The sequence below is a fragment of the Homo sapiens genome, chromosome 12 (assembly GCF_000001405.40).
Source record: "Homo sapiens chromosome 12, GRCh38.p14 Primary Assembly".
NCBI lineage: Eukaryota > Metazoa > Chordata > Mammalia > Primates > Hominidae > Homo > Homo sapiens.
The window spans coordinates 104,036,857-104,054,435 of record NC_000012.12 but is presented as its reverse complement, the minus strand read 5'-3'; the positions used below and the strand labels follow the sequence as shown (position 1 = coordinate 104,054,435).

At 42.3% G+C, this 17,579-nt stretch overlaps 1 protein-coding gene across 21 annotated transcripts in view, besides 2 other annotated features; it reads left to right on the top strand.

Moving 5' to 3' along the window:
* GLT8D2 (glycosyltransferase 8 domain containing 2) overlaps positions 1-17,579 on the top strand; it is a 75,451-nt gene that overhangs the window by 10,002 nt on the left and 47,870 nt on the right. For 4 of the 21 annotated variants that reach the window (NR_169303.1, NR_169300.1, NR_169301.1 and 1 more), the window contains exon 2: positions 1,068-3,096. The exons of 2 other annotated variants lie outside the window; for them this stretch is intronic. The gene's annotated coding sequence lies outside the window, so the exon portion shown is untranslated. Of the gene's footprint in view, positions 1-1,067; positions 4,542-4,943; positions 5,014-17,579 lie in introns of those variants that run through there. 15 more of the 21 variants (NM_001384713.1, NM_001384716.1, NM_001384715.1 and 12 more) reach the window with 9 other exon arrangements.
* Positions 11,404-11,573: an enhancer, noted in NCBI's record as "experimental_23711 CRE fragment used in MPRA reporter constructs". NCBI's record gives its function as "activates a minimal promoter by MPRAs in K562 erythroleukemia cells, with activity observed for the introgressed 12:104436726 or rs77340806 variant allele {active_cell/tissue: K562}" and the evidence as "EXISTENCE:reporter gene assay evidence [ECO:0000049][PMID:34662402]".
* Position 11,488: a transcriptional cis regulatory region, noted in NCBI's record as "Neanderthal adaptively introgressed variant 12:104436726 (GRCh37/hg19 assembly coordinates) or rs77340806 in the experimental_23711 CRE". NCBI's record gives its function as "modulates activity of the experimental_23711 enhancer by MPRAs in K562 erythroleukemia cells {active_cell/tissue: K562}" and the evidence as "EXISTENCE:reporter gene assay evidence [ECO:0000049][PMID:34662402]".

The window sequence follows — 17,579 nt, the reverse complement described above, 5'->3', positions numbered from 1 at the left end:
GGAATCAACTTAAGTATCCATTGATGGGTGAATGGATAAATATATTGTGGTACATATATGCAATAGAATATTATTCAGCCATATAAAGGAAATCCTGCTATTTTTGACAACGTGGATGAAACTTGAGGGCATTATGCTAAGTGAAATAAGCCAGATACAGAAAAACAAATACATACAATTTTACTTATATTTGTAATCTAAGAAAGTCAAACTCATAGAAGCAGGGAGTAGGTGGAATGGTGGTTGCTAGGGTGAGGGGATGGGGAAAATGGGGAGATGTTAGTCAAACAGTATAAACTTTCAGTTATCAGATGAGCAAATTCTGGGGATCTAGTGTAGAAAATGGGTGGTGTTGGATGTGTTAATTAATTTGATTTTGGTAATCATTACACAGTGTACATGCATATCAAGTCAACACCGTACATCTTGAATGTATTCAGTCTTTCTCAGTTAAATATTTAAATTTAAAATTAAATATTCAATTATATATTATTCAATAAAATCAATTACATGTTATAGTTCAATTTCAATTAAATATTACTTTTTTTTTTTGAGACGGAGTCTTGCTCTGTTGCCCAGGCTGGAGTGCAGTGGCGCAATCTCAGCTCACTGCAAACTCCGCCTCCCGGGTTCAAGCCATTCTCCTGCCTCAGCCTCCCGAGTAGTTGGGACTACAGGCGCCTGCCACTGTGCCCAGCTAATTTTTTATATTTTTAGTAGAGACAGGGTTTCACTGTGTTAGCCAGGATGGTCTTGATCTCCTGACCTCGTGATCCACCCACCTTGGCCTCCCAAAGTGCTGGGATTACAGGTGTGAGCCACCGCGCCCGGCTAAATATTACTTTTGTTTAAAAACAACAGCAATAATAACTTCCATTTCTTGAGTCCTTATTGAGTGCCTTACATGCATGATGTCTTTTAACCCACACAAGAGTCCTATTAGTAGTCCCCACTTAACAGATGAGGAAACTGGAGGTAAGACCTGTGCTCACACTAGGTATGTCTGTCTCCAAAGGCCACTCTGGTGTCATGCATATCCTCTGTTTCTTTTCTCATTTCTTCCCCAGGGAAAATCTGTGCATACAGTGTGGACATCTAAGTCATACATAACAAGCCTATCGCATCCTTGGAGCATGGCACAGCAGGAATAAAGGAGAAAGAAGCTGGAATCAGACAGTGGGGGTCAGGGAGAAGATCTATAACATTCTGCTAGGTGGATGAGAGATTCAAAGGAGATGACATGATCTGTGAAGGAAATTGCACTGGGCAGGTGTCAGCTCAGGCTGCTGTCCACATGATGCCTGGGACATGTCTGAGGGACTAGCCTGCTGCAAGTTAACAGCACATAATTCTGGAAGGGCGGTGGGAAACCCTGAGCCAGAAGTGGTTCTTATTTTCGCTCATGTGTGTGCAGTGAGTATTTAGAGCATAGGATATTGTGCTGCCCCTGAACCTTATGACTTCCCAGAGGTGACCAACGTTTTAGCTAAAAACATTTAGCTAAATGTTTGAATGGAATTGTGCTTTAAAATAAGGTACAACTTGCTGAGCATGGTGGTGCATGACTACAGTCCCAGCTACTCGGGAGGCTGAGGAGAAAGGCCCAGGAATTCAAGTCCAGCCTGGGCAACATAGCAAGACACGTCTCTACATAATAATAATAATAATTAATACATAAAATAAGGTACAAGATGCTGGGGGTAAAGAGAGAAGAGGAGGGGCATCATGTCAAGCCTCTCCAGGAGAAAGGACACACCTGCTGGATTGTGTGAGGGATTTAGAATAGGGGCATATAAGGGAACACAGGGCAGTCAATAATTCTACACAGGCAGCAAATTTGATGCTGAAGGATGACCAATGTGGATGCCATGCCACTTAACGCTACTGTTGCAGCCGCAGATCCTAGTATTTGAAATATGCCTCAAGAAGGAAACACTTAAGAAGTGCTGAATAAGAATTCCAATCCTGGCTTCATCGCTAACTTGCTTTGGGAACTTGGGCTTTAATTTGCTCAAAGCCTCAGTTTGCTCATCTGTAAATTGGGGCAAATAACATCTGTTCAACTTACCTACCAGAAATGTTGTGTGGCTAAAAAGAAATAGAAGATATGAAAATGCTTTGGCTATATTCAAAGTTCTATATACATGGAAGATATTCAGGATCCTCCCACCTTCAAAGTTCATATCTAAGAAAACCCCTACTAAATCCTTTAGAATGGAACTGCTCAATATAGTAGCCACTAGCCACATTGACTACTGAGTACTTAAATGTGACTAGTGCAACTGAGGAACTGAATTTTTAATTTTATTTAACTGTAACTAATTTTAATTGAAAAACTGATACTCTATTCAATTACTGGAAAACTTTTAAGTACATTTGGACCAACCTGGACTCGTGAATTTACTTTTGTTCCCAGTGTTTTTTTCTATTTTTTTATTGATAACATAATAGATATACATATTTTGAGTGTGTATTCAAACATTTAATATTAATACATTCATATAATTTGTAAAGATCAAATCAGTGTAACTGGGATATCCATTACCTTAAATGAATCTACTTTTTAAATGGTATTTATAAAATCTAAATATATGTGAAGTGTTTCTGCTTAAATTTAGTGTTTGAATTGAGATGTGCTCCAAGTGTACAACACACACCAAATTTCAAAGACTTAGTTAAAAAAAAAACACTGGGAAGGGCAGGAGGAAGGGAGAGATAGGGAGAGATTTGTTAAAGGATATAAAATTATAGCTAGATAGGAGGAATAGGTTCTAGTGTAGTATGGCCATAGTTAACAATAATATATAGCTTCAAAGAGCTAGAAGGAGGATATTGAATGTTTCCAACATAAGCATCAATATTTGAGATTATAGATATGCTAATTACAGTGTTCTGATCACTATACATTGTATATTGAAACATCAATATGTACCCCATGAATATGTACAATTATTACATGAATATGTATCAAAACAAATTAAATTTAAAGACAAAACAAAGAACATAAAACATCTTCTTAATAATGTTTTATATTATGTGTTGAAATGATAACATCTTGTATATATTGGGTAAAGTAAAATATATCATTAAGATAAATTTTACCTCTTTGTACTTTTTTCTTAATGTGGCTACTAGAAAATTTTAAATTATAGCCAGGTGTAGTGATGTGCACCTGTAATCTCAGCTACTCAGGAGGCTGAGACGGGAGGATCGCCTGAACCTTGAAGTTCACGGCTGCAGTGAGCTGTGATCACGCCACTGCACTCCAGCCTGAGTAACAGAGCAAGACCCTGTCTCTTTAAAAAAAAAAAAAAGTAAAATTGGCCGGATGAGGTGGCTCACGCCTGTAATCCCAGCACTTTGGGAGGCTGAGGCGGCGGATCACCTGAGGTCAGGTGTTTGAGACCAGCCTGGCCAACATGGCGAAACCCCATCTCTACTAAAAATACAAAAATTAGCTGGGTGTAGTGGTGGGCGCCTGTAATCCCAGCTACTCGGGAGGCTGAGGCAGGAGAATCATTTGAACCGGGGAGGCGGAGGTTGCAGTGAGCCGAGATCTCATCACTGCACTCTAGCCTGGGAGACAGAGGGAGACTCCGTCTCAAAAAAAAAAAAAAGTAAAATTACAGGGTGGCTTGCATTTTATTTCTGTTGGAGAGCACCACTTTAGAAAGAGACAGTGAGCAGGGAGATCCTTATATCCTTATAGGAAATAGGAAGAGGAGCCATTGCAGAAATAAATTCTGTGATCCCAGACAAAGTGCTGGCACCATCTCCCGGGTTTGAGAACACACCGCAGAGATACAGAACAGCGCAGATTGCTGTTGAGGTCAGCTCCCAGCTCCCTGCCTCATTCCTCTCTGATTCCTCTTTTGTTCAGGCACAAAAACACTCCATCCTGAAACTTTTGTCATTATTGCCTTGGTAGAAGAAGACCACAGTTGTTACCTGGGTTTTGATTTGGGGACAACAGCATTTCAATGACTAGGAGATTTCAGGAGAAGCTAGTGGCCATGAAGATTCTCAAAATCAGCATGAACTTTATTTTTCACTGGTGTTCTTTCAAAGTTTGCCTTCGACTCAACGTGTGGTAGAAATTCACCCTGAAAGCATTTGCTCTTCTCTGGTTTTGTGTCTTTTCCTCCAGAACAGCGTTGTTTTTTGCATGTTTTGCACTTAGCCAGAGGAAGTCTGGCGCATCCGAGCCGGCCAGCCGAGCACATCTGGAAGTGGTTTCTGGGGCCGCCCCTCTCTGCCAGCGCAACTCCTGGGTTCCCAGCGGCTTCGCGCAGAGGTGGAAGAAACCCGAGACGTTCCGAAGTCAACGCAAGCAAAGGGGAGTGCGGGTCGGGGAGGAATATTCTTTTGGAAACGTAATATTGGCCTTGGGGCTCTCCAGCCCTTTGGGACTTCCAATGGGATCTTAGAAGCAGCCGAAGCAGCGTGAGGGCGGCAGCCCAGGGCCAGCCACGATTTGAACGCTCTGCCTTGCAGCTCTTCTGGACCGAGGAGCCCAAAGCCCTACCCTCACCATTCACCAGGTAAATAGAGAAATTTACGAGCAGTGTGCAGTCGTTCCGTTTTATCCTGGCCGGTCTGCAGCAGTTCTTTATTCTGCTACAGACCCAAGAAAGTAAATCAGAGGTGTCAGATTGCCCCACACAAACTTTGCCTTCAGAAACTTCCCAGTCCGAACTGGTAGCATTCCAGCGGAACCCTTTTCGGCCATTTCCAGCAAATCCAGTGTGCAATGTTTTTCACATCCTGGGCTGCTTTTCCAGACCTGGGTTTCTCCTCCTTCTCTCCACAAATATGATAATTTACTATTTGTATCAGATTTTAAACATAAAAATCAGCAGTTAGGATGTGGATGAATGCTATTATTTAATGAAGGTATGTCCTGAGCCACAAATTATTTAACTGAGCATGATTCATGTTTTCAGAATCTGCCTTAGGAAGCTGTTCTGAGGATCTCCATCCCCCCAGAAAGAACTGGCCGTTGTGGAAACCCAAGTGAGGCTTATTGTAAATACAGTAGTCGTGGTGTTTGGGTTGAAAATGCTTTTTAAACATTAAAAAAGATCTTATGTTTACTTTATAAGCAAGTGTCACACATTGGACAAGCCTGGTATATAATTTATGAAATAAGAAGGATAGTTAACATGAGAGTAAAAAAAAAAAAACCTGAGAGAGAGTGAGAGAAAGAAAACATGATGATATCTGAATGTCTGGATGTGCTTTGAAAAAAAAAATCAGTCCTCTCGTTGTTTGGCCCCTGTGCAGCCAAATATCCAAAGTGATATTGGTTGGTTTTTGTCTTTTCCTTTTCCTCCAAATGTTCTGGTGTGGCACTTCTGTGTAATATCCTTTCTATATTACATAATGGAATTCCAGTTCTCCCTTTAATGCACTTGGAAGTAGACTGTGCAATGCAGTGGTAAGAACATAGGCTCTGGGGTCAGGCTTACAGGACTGAATCTACATGCTGCCACTTACACACCTTCTAAGCTCGACTCCGGGTGAATTGTTTAACTGCATGCACCCTAGTTCCTCATCTGTAAAATGGAAATTACATGACCTAATGTCTATAGAGGACATAATACAGGACCTGCAAAGTAGTTAGGCCTCAGGAAAGGTTAGCTTCTCTGATGGTGCTGATGATGGCAGTGGTGACAAAAGTGATCATGCATCCTGTTTTTGGCAACACCTCTGCTTTTGACCATGGTTCCCTCTGACAGTCCAGTGGTCCAAGTGTTCCTCATACCCTAATATGTCATCTCTCCAGCACTTTGCTTTCTTCCTTTCTTCCTTCAGACACCTCTCTTTCTTTTATTTCCCATTCTGTCTTTCATTATTTCTTCTTTGTGCTTCCTCTTTCCTTGCTGAGAAAATGTGAGGTTCATTAAGGCACAGCCCTCATAGTTTTCATTTCTAGTTCCCGAGGAAAATGATTCTAAATCCTTTTTAATTTCAGCATTTTCCAAAGAAAGTTCTGAGAAAACATAGTCCCATGGGAAACTCTGTGAACTATATTACCCTCTTAGAGATCGCAAGGCATAATAGCATTTTAAAGGTCCTGAGAAGTCCTGTAGTAGAGAAATCCTCTTAAGGTTGTTTAACGCAATGATTCCCAAACAGTTGATCGCTGAACCACCTTATCACATAATGTAGGTTAACATTTCTAGGAGCACACTCTGCGGTGTGCTATTCTGGACACACTTGTTTTCATTTTGGTTCCTCTTTTGGACATCCTATTCTCCACCTTCCCTGGAGCTCATCCAAGGGGATGCCTTGTTTTTCCTTCTCAAGTTAAGGACATAAGATTATCATGTGTGTTGTACTGGTATATAGAAAATCTGGCCTAAATTGGAGATCAGAAGTCAGCAAACTTTTTCTGCAACGGGCCTGATAATAAGCCATATGGTTTCTGTTGCAACTGTTCAACTCTGCTGTTGCAGTATTAAAACAGCAGAGAAACAAAAAATAAGCATGGCTACGTTCTAACAAAACTTTATTTACAAAAACTAGTGTCAGGCAGGATTTGACCAGGGGTCATAGTTTGCTGACCCCTACTCTAAAGGCTTTTTGTGAAAGAATTTCTCATGCTAGCACAGGAGAAAGCAAGACAAATTCTCTATAAACTGAAGACTCTCTTGTCCTGCACCCCTAGTGCTATGGTCTGAAGGTTTGTGTCCCCCCAAAATTCATATGTTGAAACTCTAACCCCCAAGGTGATGCTACTAGAAAGTGGGGCCTTTTGGGAGGTGGTTGGGTCATGAGGGCAGCACCATCACCAATGGGATTAGTGCCCTTGTAAAATAGGCCTAAGAGGCTGGGCACAGCGGCTCACACCTGTAATCCCAGCACTTTGGGAGGCTGAGGCAGGTGGATCACTTGAGGTCGGGAGTTTGAGACCAGACTGACCAACATGGAGAAACCCCGTCCCTACTGAAAATACAAAAAATTAGCCAGGCGTGGTGGTGCATGCCTGTAATCCCAGCTATTTGGAAGGCTGAGATAGGAGAATCACTTGAACCCAGGAGGTGGAGGTTGTGGTGAGCTGAGATTGCACCATTGCACTCCAGCCTGGGCAACGAGAGCGAAACTCCATCTCAAAAAAAAAAAAAAAAGGCCTAAGAGAGCTGGTTCACCCCTTCCACCATGGAGGACACAGCTAGAACGTGCTATCTATGAGCCAGAAAGTAGGCCCCCACCAGGCACTGAATCTGCCAGCACCTTGATCTTGGGCTTCTCAGCTTCCAGAACTATAAGAAATAAAGTTTTGTTGTTTAGAAGCCACCCAGTTCAGGCTGGCATGGTGGCTCATGCCTGTAATCACAGCACTTTGGGAGGGTAAGGTGGGAGGATCTCTTGAGGCCCAGAGTTCTAAACCAGACTAGGCAACATAGCAAGACTCTGTCTCTACAAAAAAAATTTTTAATTAGCTGGATGTGGTGGTGGTGCATGCCTATTGTCCCAGCTATTTGGGAGACTGAGGTGAGAGGACAGCTTGAGCCCAGGAATTCGAGGCTATAGTAAGCTACGATCATGCCACCACACTCCAGCCTAGGTGATAGAGTAAGACCCTGTCAAAAAAAAAAATGGAGTAAGACACCTGTTCTATGTATCTTGGTGAATCTTGAGTAAACCTTTCATTATAGCAAAAAGTTAAAAGGCAAGAGATATTTTGTTAGAGGACAGACTCCTGAGTCCTGATCTTGTCCTTTCTCTTTCCTTTAGTGAATTCTTACTCTTGTCCTGTTAATGACTTTGTAGCTTGCATAGCTTAAAATGAAGTGCTCTGTTAAATGTGTCTATGCATTTGAGAACTTCAGGGTGCAAGTCTTGCAGAGTTAACTCACAGAGCTTATGTCAGTTGCTTGACACAGTGATAGCAACCATAGCGATGGAAAGTGGTTGGCTGTAGTAACTATCAAGGTGGTTAAGAATGTGAACTCAGAGCCAGGATGCCTGCGTGTAAATATTAGCTCTGCCACTTATTAGTTGTGTGACCCTTAGCAGACCTCTTAATTCTCTGAGCCTCAGTTTTCTCACCTGTGTATTGGAATAATAACTTTAAGGAGTTGTTGTGATAATCCGTGAATGAATATTTGTAAAAGTCGTAGAACAATGCCTAGCACATAGAATTGCTACGTAAGTGTTAAAATAATAATAGTTAATACTTATGTAGCAATAGCTTTGTAATATGCAGAACTATCCCGTTTTACACATAGGGTTTTGTAAGTCACCCCATGATTACACAGCTAATTAGGATTCACAGTCAGCTCTGTCTAAGGATAAAGCCCATATTTCCACTAACCTACACAGCTCTCATATTTAAGTCATTCAACAGTACTTTTAGGAACCCCCTCTTTTATCTTGCTTTTTGATTCCCAGTCATTTCCTATTACTCCCTACCATACTATAACCATGGCAGACATGATTAATCAATCACTTTCTTTCTTTCTTTCTTTCTTATTTTCTTTCTTTCTTTCTTTTTCTTTCTTTCTTTCTTTCTTTCTTTCTTTCTTTCTTTCTTTCTTATCTTTCTTTTCTTTTCTTTTTTAACTGAATCTAGTGATGGCTTCAGATTTCTTCTCAATCTAGCAATCCCAACAGCCCATACCATAGCCAATCAGAGCTGGCATGTAAAATGAAACACAGGGGCACTGATTTTTGGAGTATTTTTCTGAAGAGCCTTTCCCACTTTGCTTTTTGTTCCAAGGCAGAGCAAATTCCCTTAGCCACTGCCAGGTCTCAAAACATTCTTTCCAGGTTTGGCCACATGCCTAAACTCTTTGGCATCTGGTAAAATGGCTCCCCATGCAAGGTCTTCAGGGGCTTATTTTTAAACTTACAGGCCTCTTCTCATGCCCAGAACAACTCTCTGTACTCTCCTTTTCTTCCTACTCACAGGCCCTAGAACCTCAACCTTCTTTTCTCCCCTCTTTGAAGATGCTACTGCCCAGTGCCTTGCCTGCCCTGCAGTGGCTCCCAGCTCCACCTCTCTGTCTGTCCTGAAGACAGGCCTGCAGGCAATTTCTTGTTAAAGGCTTGGCTATTTATTACCACAGAGAAACCACACACACGGAAGTCACTAGGGCTAGGAAAGCTCACAGAGGTGTAAGGGGCACAGTTCTGGGGCTCTTTGTTGTGACAGTAGCAGGAAGGCTGATGAGATGACCAGAGCCCTCTGCTTTTATTCCTGGAGTGGGATCATCAGCAGTTCCCCTCCTTCTGGCTGAGTCCTTTCTTTCTGGGGCTGAAGAGCAGAGCAACAAGAGCCTCTCGCCTTTTCTTTCTCTCTCCTGATTCTCATTGATTCAACACACATTTATTGAGTTCCCACCTTGGGGCAGGACAGGCAGATGGAAGTGAGGAAGCCACAGTCGCTGTCCTCAGTGGTCTGTCTGGTCCTTCTTTTAAAGATAGATATGCTGAAATATTTAGGGGGAGAAGTGTCATGATGTTTACAACTTCCAAAAATATATATGTACATATGAAGTTCAATTAAGTAAATATGTCAACATGTTAGCAACTGGTGGATCTGGTGAAAGGTATATGAGTATTTATTCTTCAGACTTTTCAGCGGTCTTGAAATGTTTCAAGCGAAAAAAAGAAAAAGGAAATCAAACAAAAAATTAAGGCTACTCAAGCTGCATTTGTGTTTCAAATGAACTTGATATGATTATCGAACAACAAAAAAGTTACTATGGCCGTTAGGCCAGTGATGGATTGAGGAAGGGCAGTGTACAGAAATTCTAAAGGCAGGAAGGCCAGGTGGGAGGTTATTGCAGAGGTGTAATTAGTAGGACTCGGTGATTGAAGGAGGAATTAGGAGGGAGAAGTTGAAGAGGAATCTGAGAACCCCAGAGAAGGAGTTTCTGTAGGGGAGGTGCTAATTTCAGTTGTGAATGTAGGGGCTTTGAGATACTTGTGCAGCACCCTGAGGAGACAGTTGCACATTCATCCCTTTGGTCCATAAATGTTTTCTGAGGGCTTATATTGCCAGGCACTTGTCTAGATGCTGGGTGTATGGCAATGAATGAAACAAAATTTCCTGCCTTCATGGGGCTTATAGTCTGTCATTTGGATGGCAGCCAGTACACCGGTGATGACGAGGCAGTCTGTTGGAAGATGGTAATTGCTGAGGGGATGCAATTTGTGCATTGTTGGGGTTAGAGGCTTTTGACTAAGAGACTGAGAGACATGAGGGGGCAAGCCATGTAGATATCTGGGAAGAGGATTCCAGGCAGCAGGAATAGCACGTGGCCAAGGCTCTGAGGCAGGAGGCTGTCTGGCAAGGAGGCCGGTGTGATCACGCGATACCTTATGGAAGGATGCTGTAATGACTTTGGTTTTTGCTCTGAGAGAGACAGGAAGGCCTTGGAAGGTTTTGAACAGAGCACAGCACAATGCGACTCCTATTTTCACAGGTTCATTCTGGCTGCTTTGTTGAAAATCAGCTGAAGGGAGACAAAGGCAGAATAATATAGTCAAAGGCTAATGTGCCAGGGTGGAGCCACAGAAGGTGGTAAAAATTCTGGATCTATTTTGAAAGTGGAACTGACAAGATTTGCTGTCAGTGCACATGGGAATAAGGAACAGAGAGGGGTTAAGGAAACACCAAGCTGATTTTTTTGTGGAGCAATTTAAAAAACGGAGTCACAGCCGGGCACAGTGGCTCACACCTGTAATCCCAGCACTTTGGGAGACCAAGGTGAGTGGATCACCTGAGGTCAGGAGTTCAAGAACAGCCTGGCCAGCATGGCGAAACTGCCTCTCTACTAAAAATACAAAAACTAGCTGGGCGTGGTGGTGCACACATGTAATCCCAGCTACTAGGGAGGCTGAGGCAGGAGAATTGCTCTAACCCAGGAGGCGGAGGTTGCAGTGAGCCAAGATTGTGCCACTGCATTCCAGCTTGAGAGACAGAACAAAACTCCATCTCAAAAATAAAAATAAAAACTAAATGGAGTCACCCGAACTGATTTGGGGAAGATTATGGGAAGGGCATGTTTCGGGGGAAATACCAGAAGCTCAGTTTTGGACACGTGGATTACTATAAGTGCAGATGCCAAATGGCATCTGGAGTCTGGAATCCATGTGAGATGGCTGGCCTGGAGATAGAAATTTGGGAGTTTTCAGCATATAAATTATATTTAAAGCCATGAGTCAGGATGAAGTCTCCTAAGGAGGGAGTTTAGAGAAAGAAGAGAAGAAATCGCTAAGGTGTTCCAACATTTAGATATTCAGGAGGTAGGAGCAACCAGTGAAAGAGACTGAGAATGAGCCATCAGAAAGGTGGAGGAAAAGCAGGTGAGCCGAGTCCCCCGGGCCACGTGCAGGAAGCATGTAAGGAGGAGAGAGCGGGCACATAGTCTGCATCTCACGCACCCATGCCTCAACCCTAGTGAGGAACAAGTCCTGTGGTGCAGTTCTTTGCATGCCGGGACCTTGTTAGCCAGAAGATGTTCTCTCAGACTCTGCCCCATTCCAGTTTCTCTTGGTTCCAGATCTCTGCCTTTTACTCTACCTCAAGCTTGTCCAACCCGTAGCCCACAGGCCACAGGCAGTGCTGGACAGCTTTGGATGCAGCCCAACACAAATTCATCAACTTTCTTAAAACATAATGAGATTTTTGTGTGTGTGTGATTTTTTTTGTTTAGCTCATCAGCTATGTTTCATGTTAGTGTATTTTATGTGTGGCCCAAGACAATTCTTCTTTCAGTGTGGTCCAGGGAAGCCAGAAGATAGGACACCCCACCCTACACATTCTTAAGCTGTCCAGCATCACTTCCTTGGTTCTCCAGTTCTCTATCCCTGACTTCCTATCAGTTTTCTACCTCTTTATAACTCTGATCCCTCTCTTAATTCCCCACAATCAGCTTATCCCCAGGACTTCAGTTCTGCAAAAATTTCTTGAGAACCTACTTAATCTACTGGAATGTCTTTGACTTCAAATACCAGAAACACTGATTTACGGCAGCTTAAACACATGGGTTGATTCTGTCACATAAGAAGTTTGGAGGAGGTAGGTATTGATGGCATTGATTCAGCAGTTCGATGACATAAGAGCTGACCATTCTGTGTAGCTCTTGACCTCTCCCTCATGGTCTCAAGGTGGCTGCCTAGCTCCAGCCATTATGGCCCCATGCAAGGCAGGAGGAAGGGGGAGTTGACACTTCATCCAGAAAGGAAAAGCTTTCTCAGATATTCCCAGTAGATTTCCACTTAAGTCTCTGTGCATCAGATCTATATTATGTGGCTACTACTAGCTGCAAAGAAGGCTGGTAAAATCTTTATTTGGATTTTCCTCTCTCTCATATGGAAACAGGCAAAGGAGAAAAGGATGGGAAGAGCTGTTGGATCAGCCAGCTATCAAGGCTGCCACACTACCAAGTGCCAAATGCTTGCCATGAACTGGAAATACAGAAATGATTAACGTAGTACCCGTCCTGTCCCTGGAGCTTGCGTTCTAGTAAGGAAACATAAGAATGAACGGAGTATCTTGGTTTGGTTTGGTGGAGACCAGGAGCCTTCCCTGACCCCCATGATCTGGTCAGGTGCCCCTCCTTGATGCTAAAACAATATCCCATGCTTACATCTACCAAGGCATCTAAGCACACTGTATTGCCATTATATATTTACTGGTGTCTTCCCCTCCCTTCCCCCAAATGTGGACTAACTGGGGACTTATCTTTGAATCTCTAGTGCCTGGGTGCCTGGTATATTCGTAGAGGTTGAGTAAATGTTTGTTGAATGAATCAAAGAAATGTCAAGGGAACCCCCTAATTACCTTCTTGTCCTGGGTTGGGCCCTTATCCCATCTTAGCTTTGTTGTTGTTGCTGTTGTTGTTGAGAAAGAGCCTTGCTTTGTCACCCAGGCTGGAGTGCAGTGGTGCGATCTGTGTTTACTGCAACCTCCGCCTCCCTGGTTCAAGCAATTCCCCTGTCTCAGCCTCCCAAGGAGCTGGGATCACAGGTGCGTGCCACCACATCCAACTAATTTTTTCTTTTTTGAGACAGAGTCTCTTTCTGTCGCCCAGGCTGGAGTGCAATGGTGCGATCTTGGCCGACTGCAACCTCTGTCTCGCAGGTTCAAGCGATTCTCCTACCTCAGCCTCCTGACTAGCTGGGATTACAGGCGCCTGTCACCACGCCCAGCTAATTTTTGTATTTTTAGTAGAGACAGCGTTTTACCATGTTGGCCAGGCTGGTCTCGAACTCCTGACCCCAGATGATCCACCCACCTCAGCCTCCCAAAGTGCTGGGATTACAGGGGTGAGCCACCACGCCTGGCCCCACACCCAGCTAATTTTTGTATTTTTAGTAGAGACGGGGTTTCACCATGTTGGCCAGGCTGGTCTCGAACTCCTGACCTCAAGTGATCTGCCCACCTAGGCCTCCCAAGGTGCTGGGATTACAGGCGTGAGCCACCGTGCCCAGCCCCTTAGCATTTTTAGCTAGTTAACTCATATTTACATTCTAATAGCAAAATCTCTAACACCTTGCCAGAAAACAGTGCTGACTCCCCAATCACTTTTGTAATGTTAAAAATAAATTTATTTATTCTCACATTCAGTAGAACTCTGAACTTACAAATTTACACCCAGTAAAGTCACAACACAGCATCTAAAAAGCTAAAAGTACCTATATACTCGAGTCTCATAGTACTTAGAAAATGGGATGCTTAATTTTTCAATTTGTTAGGCTGGGCGTGGTGGCTCACGCCTGTAATCCCAGCACTTTGGGAGGCTGAGGCGGGTGGATCACGAGGTCAGGAGTTCAAGACCAGCCTGGCCAAGATGCTGAAACCCCATCTCTACTAAATATGCAAAAATTAGTTGGGCATGGTGGCACGCGTCTGTAATCCCAGCTACTTTGGAGGCTGAGGCAGGAGAATCGCGTAAACCCGGGTGCCAGAGGTTACAGTGAGCCAAGATCAAGCGACTGCACTCCAGCCTGGGCGACAGAACAAGACTTCGTCCCAAAAGAAAAAAAACATTTTTTTTTCAATTTGTTGTTTTTTATTTCAAAGAGATGTATAGTTAATCTGACTCATTTGAATAACAGTGAGTGAATTGCAGATACTGTTATCAAAGATAGCAATTCTACAGGCATAAATAATTTTTTTATTATTATACTTTAAGTTCTAGGGTACATGTGCACAACGTGCAGGTTTGTTACATAGGTATACATGGGCCATGTTAGTTTGCTGCACCCATTAACTTGTCATTTACATTAGCTATTTCTCTTAATGCTATCCCTCCCCCTGCTCCCACCCCATGACAGGCCCTGGTGTCTGATGTTCCCTGTCCTATGTCCTAGTGTTCTTATTGTTTAATTCCCACCCATGAGTGAGAGAACATGCAGTGTTTGGTTTTCTGTCCTTGTGATAGTTTGCTCAGAATGATGATTTCCAGCTTCATCCATGTCCCTGCAAAGGATGTGAGCTCACCTTTTTTATGGCTGCATAGTATTCCATGGTGTATATGTGCCACATTTTCTTAATTCAGTCTATCATTGATGGACATTTGGGTTGGTTCCAAGTCTTTGCTATTGTGAATAGTGCAGCAATAAACATACGTGTGCATGTGTCTTTAAAGCAGCATGATTTATAATCCTTTGGGTATATACCCAGTAATAGGATGGCTGGGTCAAATGGTATTTCTAGTTCTAGATCCTTGAGGCATCACCACACTGTCTTCCACAATGGTTGAACCAGTTTACACTCCCACCAACAGTGTTAAAGCATTCCTATTTCTCCACATCCTCTCCAGCATCTGTTGTTTCCTGACTTTTTAATGATCGCCATTCTAACTGGTGTGAGATGGTATCTCATTGTGGTTTTGATTTGCATTTCTCTGATGGCCAGTGACGATGAGCATTTTTTCATGTGTCTGTTGGCTGCATAAATGTCTTCTTTTGAGAAGTGTCTGTTCATATCCTTCGCCCACTTTTTGATGGGGTTGTTTGTTTTTTTCTTGTAAATTTGTTTAAGTTCTTTGTAGATTCTGGATATCAGCCCTTTGTCAGATGGGTAGATTGCAAAAATTTTCTCCCATTGTGTAGGTTGCCTATTCACTCTGATGGTAGTTTCTTTTGCTGTGCAGAAGCTCTTTAGTTTAATTAGATCCCATTTGTGTATTTTGGCTTTTGTTGCCATTGCTTTTGGTGTTTCAGACATGAAGTCCTTGCCCATGCCTATGTCCTGAATGGTATTGCCTAGGTTTTCTTCTAGAGTTTTTATGGTTTTAGGTCTAACATTTAAGTCTTTAATCCATCTTGAATTAATTTTTGTATAAGGTGTAAGGAAGGGATCCAGTTTCAGCTTTCTATGTATGGCTAGCCAGTTTTCCCATCACCATTTAATAAATAGGGAATCCTTTCCCTATTTCTTGTTTTTGTCAGATTTGTCAAATATCAGATTATTGTAGATGTGTGGTGATATTTCTGAGGCCTCTGTTCTGTTGCATTGGTCTGTATCTCTGTTTTGGCATCAGTACCATGCTATTTTGGTTACTGTAGCCTTTTAGTATAGTTTGAAGTCAGGTAGCGTGATGCCTCCAGCTTTGTTCTTTTGGCTTAGGATTGTCTTGGCGATGTGGGCTCTTTTTTGATTCATATGAACTTTAAAGTATTTTTTTCCAATTCTGTGAAGAAAGTCATTGGTAGCTTGATGGGGATGGCATTGAATCTATAAGTTACCTTGGGCAGTATGGCCATTTTCACGATATTAATTCTTCCTATTCACGAACATGGAATGTTCTTCCATTTGTTTGTGTCCTCTTTTATTTCGTTGAGCAGTGGTTTGTAGTTCTCCTTGAAGAGATCCTTCACATCCCTTGTAAGTTGGATTCCTAGGTATTTTATTCTCTTTGAAGCAATTGTGAATGGGAGTTCACTCATGATTTGGCTCTCTGTTTGTCTGTTATTGGTGTATAGGAATGCTTGTGATTTTTGCACATTGATTTTGTATCCTGAGACTTTGCTGAAGTTGCTTATCAGCTTAAGGAGATTATGGGCTGAGACGATGGGGTTTTCTAAATGCACAATCATGTCATCTGCAAACAGGGACAGTTTGACTTCCTCTTTTCCTAAATGAATACCCTTTATTTCTTTCTCCTGCCTGATTGCCCTGGCCAGAACTTCCAACACTATGTTGAATAGGAGTGGTGAGAGAGGGCATCCCTGTCTTGTGCCAGTTTTCAAAGGGAATGCTTTCAGTTTTTGCCCATTCAGTATGATATTGGCTGTGGGTTTGTCATAAATAGCTCTTATTATTTTGAGACACGTTCCATCAGTACCTAGTTTATTGAGAGTTTTTAGCATGAAAGGCTGTTGAATTTTGTGGAAGGCCTTTTCTGCATCTATTGAAATAATCATGTGGTTTTTGTTGTTGGTTCTGTTTATGTGATGGATTACGTTTATTGATTTGCATGTGTTGAACCAGCCTTGTATCCCAGGGATGAGGCCAACTTGATCGTGGTGGATAAGCTTTTTGATGTGCTGCTGGATTCAGTTTGCCAGTATTTTATTGAGGATTTCGCACTGATGTTCATAAGGGATATTGGTCTAAAATTCTCTTTTTGTGCTGTGTCTCTGCCAGACTTTGGTATCAGGATGATGCTGGCCTCATAAAATGAGTTAGGGAGGATTCCCTCTTCCTCTATTGATTGGAATAGTTTCAGAAGGAATGGTACCAGCTCCTTTTTGTACTTCTGGTAGAATTTGGCTGTGAATCCATCTGGTCCTGGACATTTTTTGGTTGGTAGACTATTAATTATTGCCTCAATTTCAGAGCCTGTTATTGGTCTATTCAGAGATTCAACTTCTTCCTGGTATAGTCTTGGGAGGGTGTATGCATCCAGGAATTTATCCATTTCTTCTATATTTTCTAGTTTATTTGCATAGAGGTGTTCATAGTATTCTCTGATGGTACTATCGGTGGTGATATCTCCTTTGTCATTTTTTATTGCGTCTGTTTGATTCTTCTCCCTTTTCTTCTTTATTATTCTTGCTAGCAGTCTATTTTGTTGACCTTTTCAAAAAACCAGCTCCTGGATTCATTGATTTTTTGAAGGGTTTTTTGTGTCTCTATCTCCTTCAGTTCTGCTCTGATCTTAGTTATTTCTTGCCTTCTGTTAGCTTTTGAATGTGTTTGCTCTTGCTTCTCTAGTTATTTTAATTGTGATGTTAGGGTGTCGATTTTAGATCTTTCCTGTTTTCTCTTGTGGGCATTTAGTGCTATAAATTTCCCTCTACACACTGCTTTAAATGTGTCCCAGAGATTCTGGTATGTTGTGTCTTTGTTCTCATTGGTTTCAAAGAACATCTTTATTTCTGCCTTCATTTCGCTATTTACCCAGTAGTCCTTCAGGAGCAGGTTGTTCGGTTTCCATGTAGTTGTGCGGTTTTGAGTGAGTTTCTTAATCCTGAGTTCTAATTTGATTGCAATGTGGTCTGAGAGACAGTTTGTTGTGATTTCTGTTCTTTTACATTTGCTGAAGAGTGTTTTACTTCCAACTCTGTGGTCAGTTTTGGAATAAGTGCAGTGTGGTGCTGAGAAAAATGTA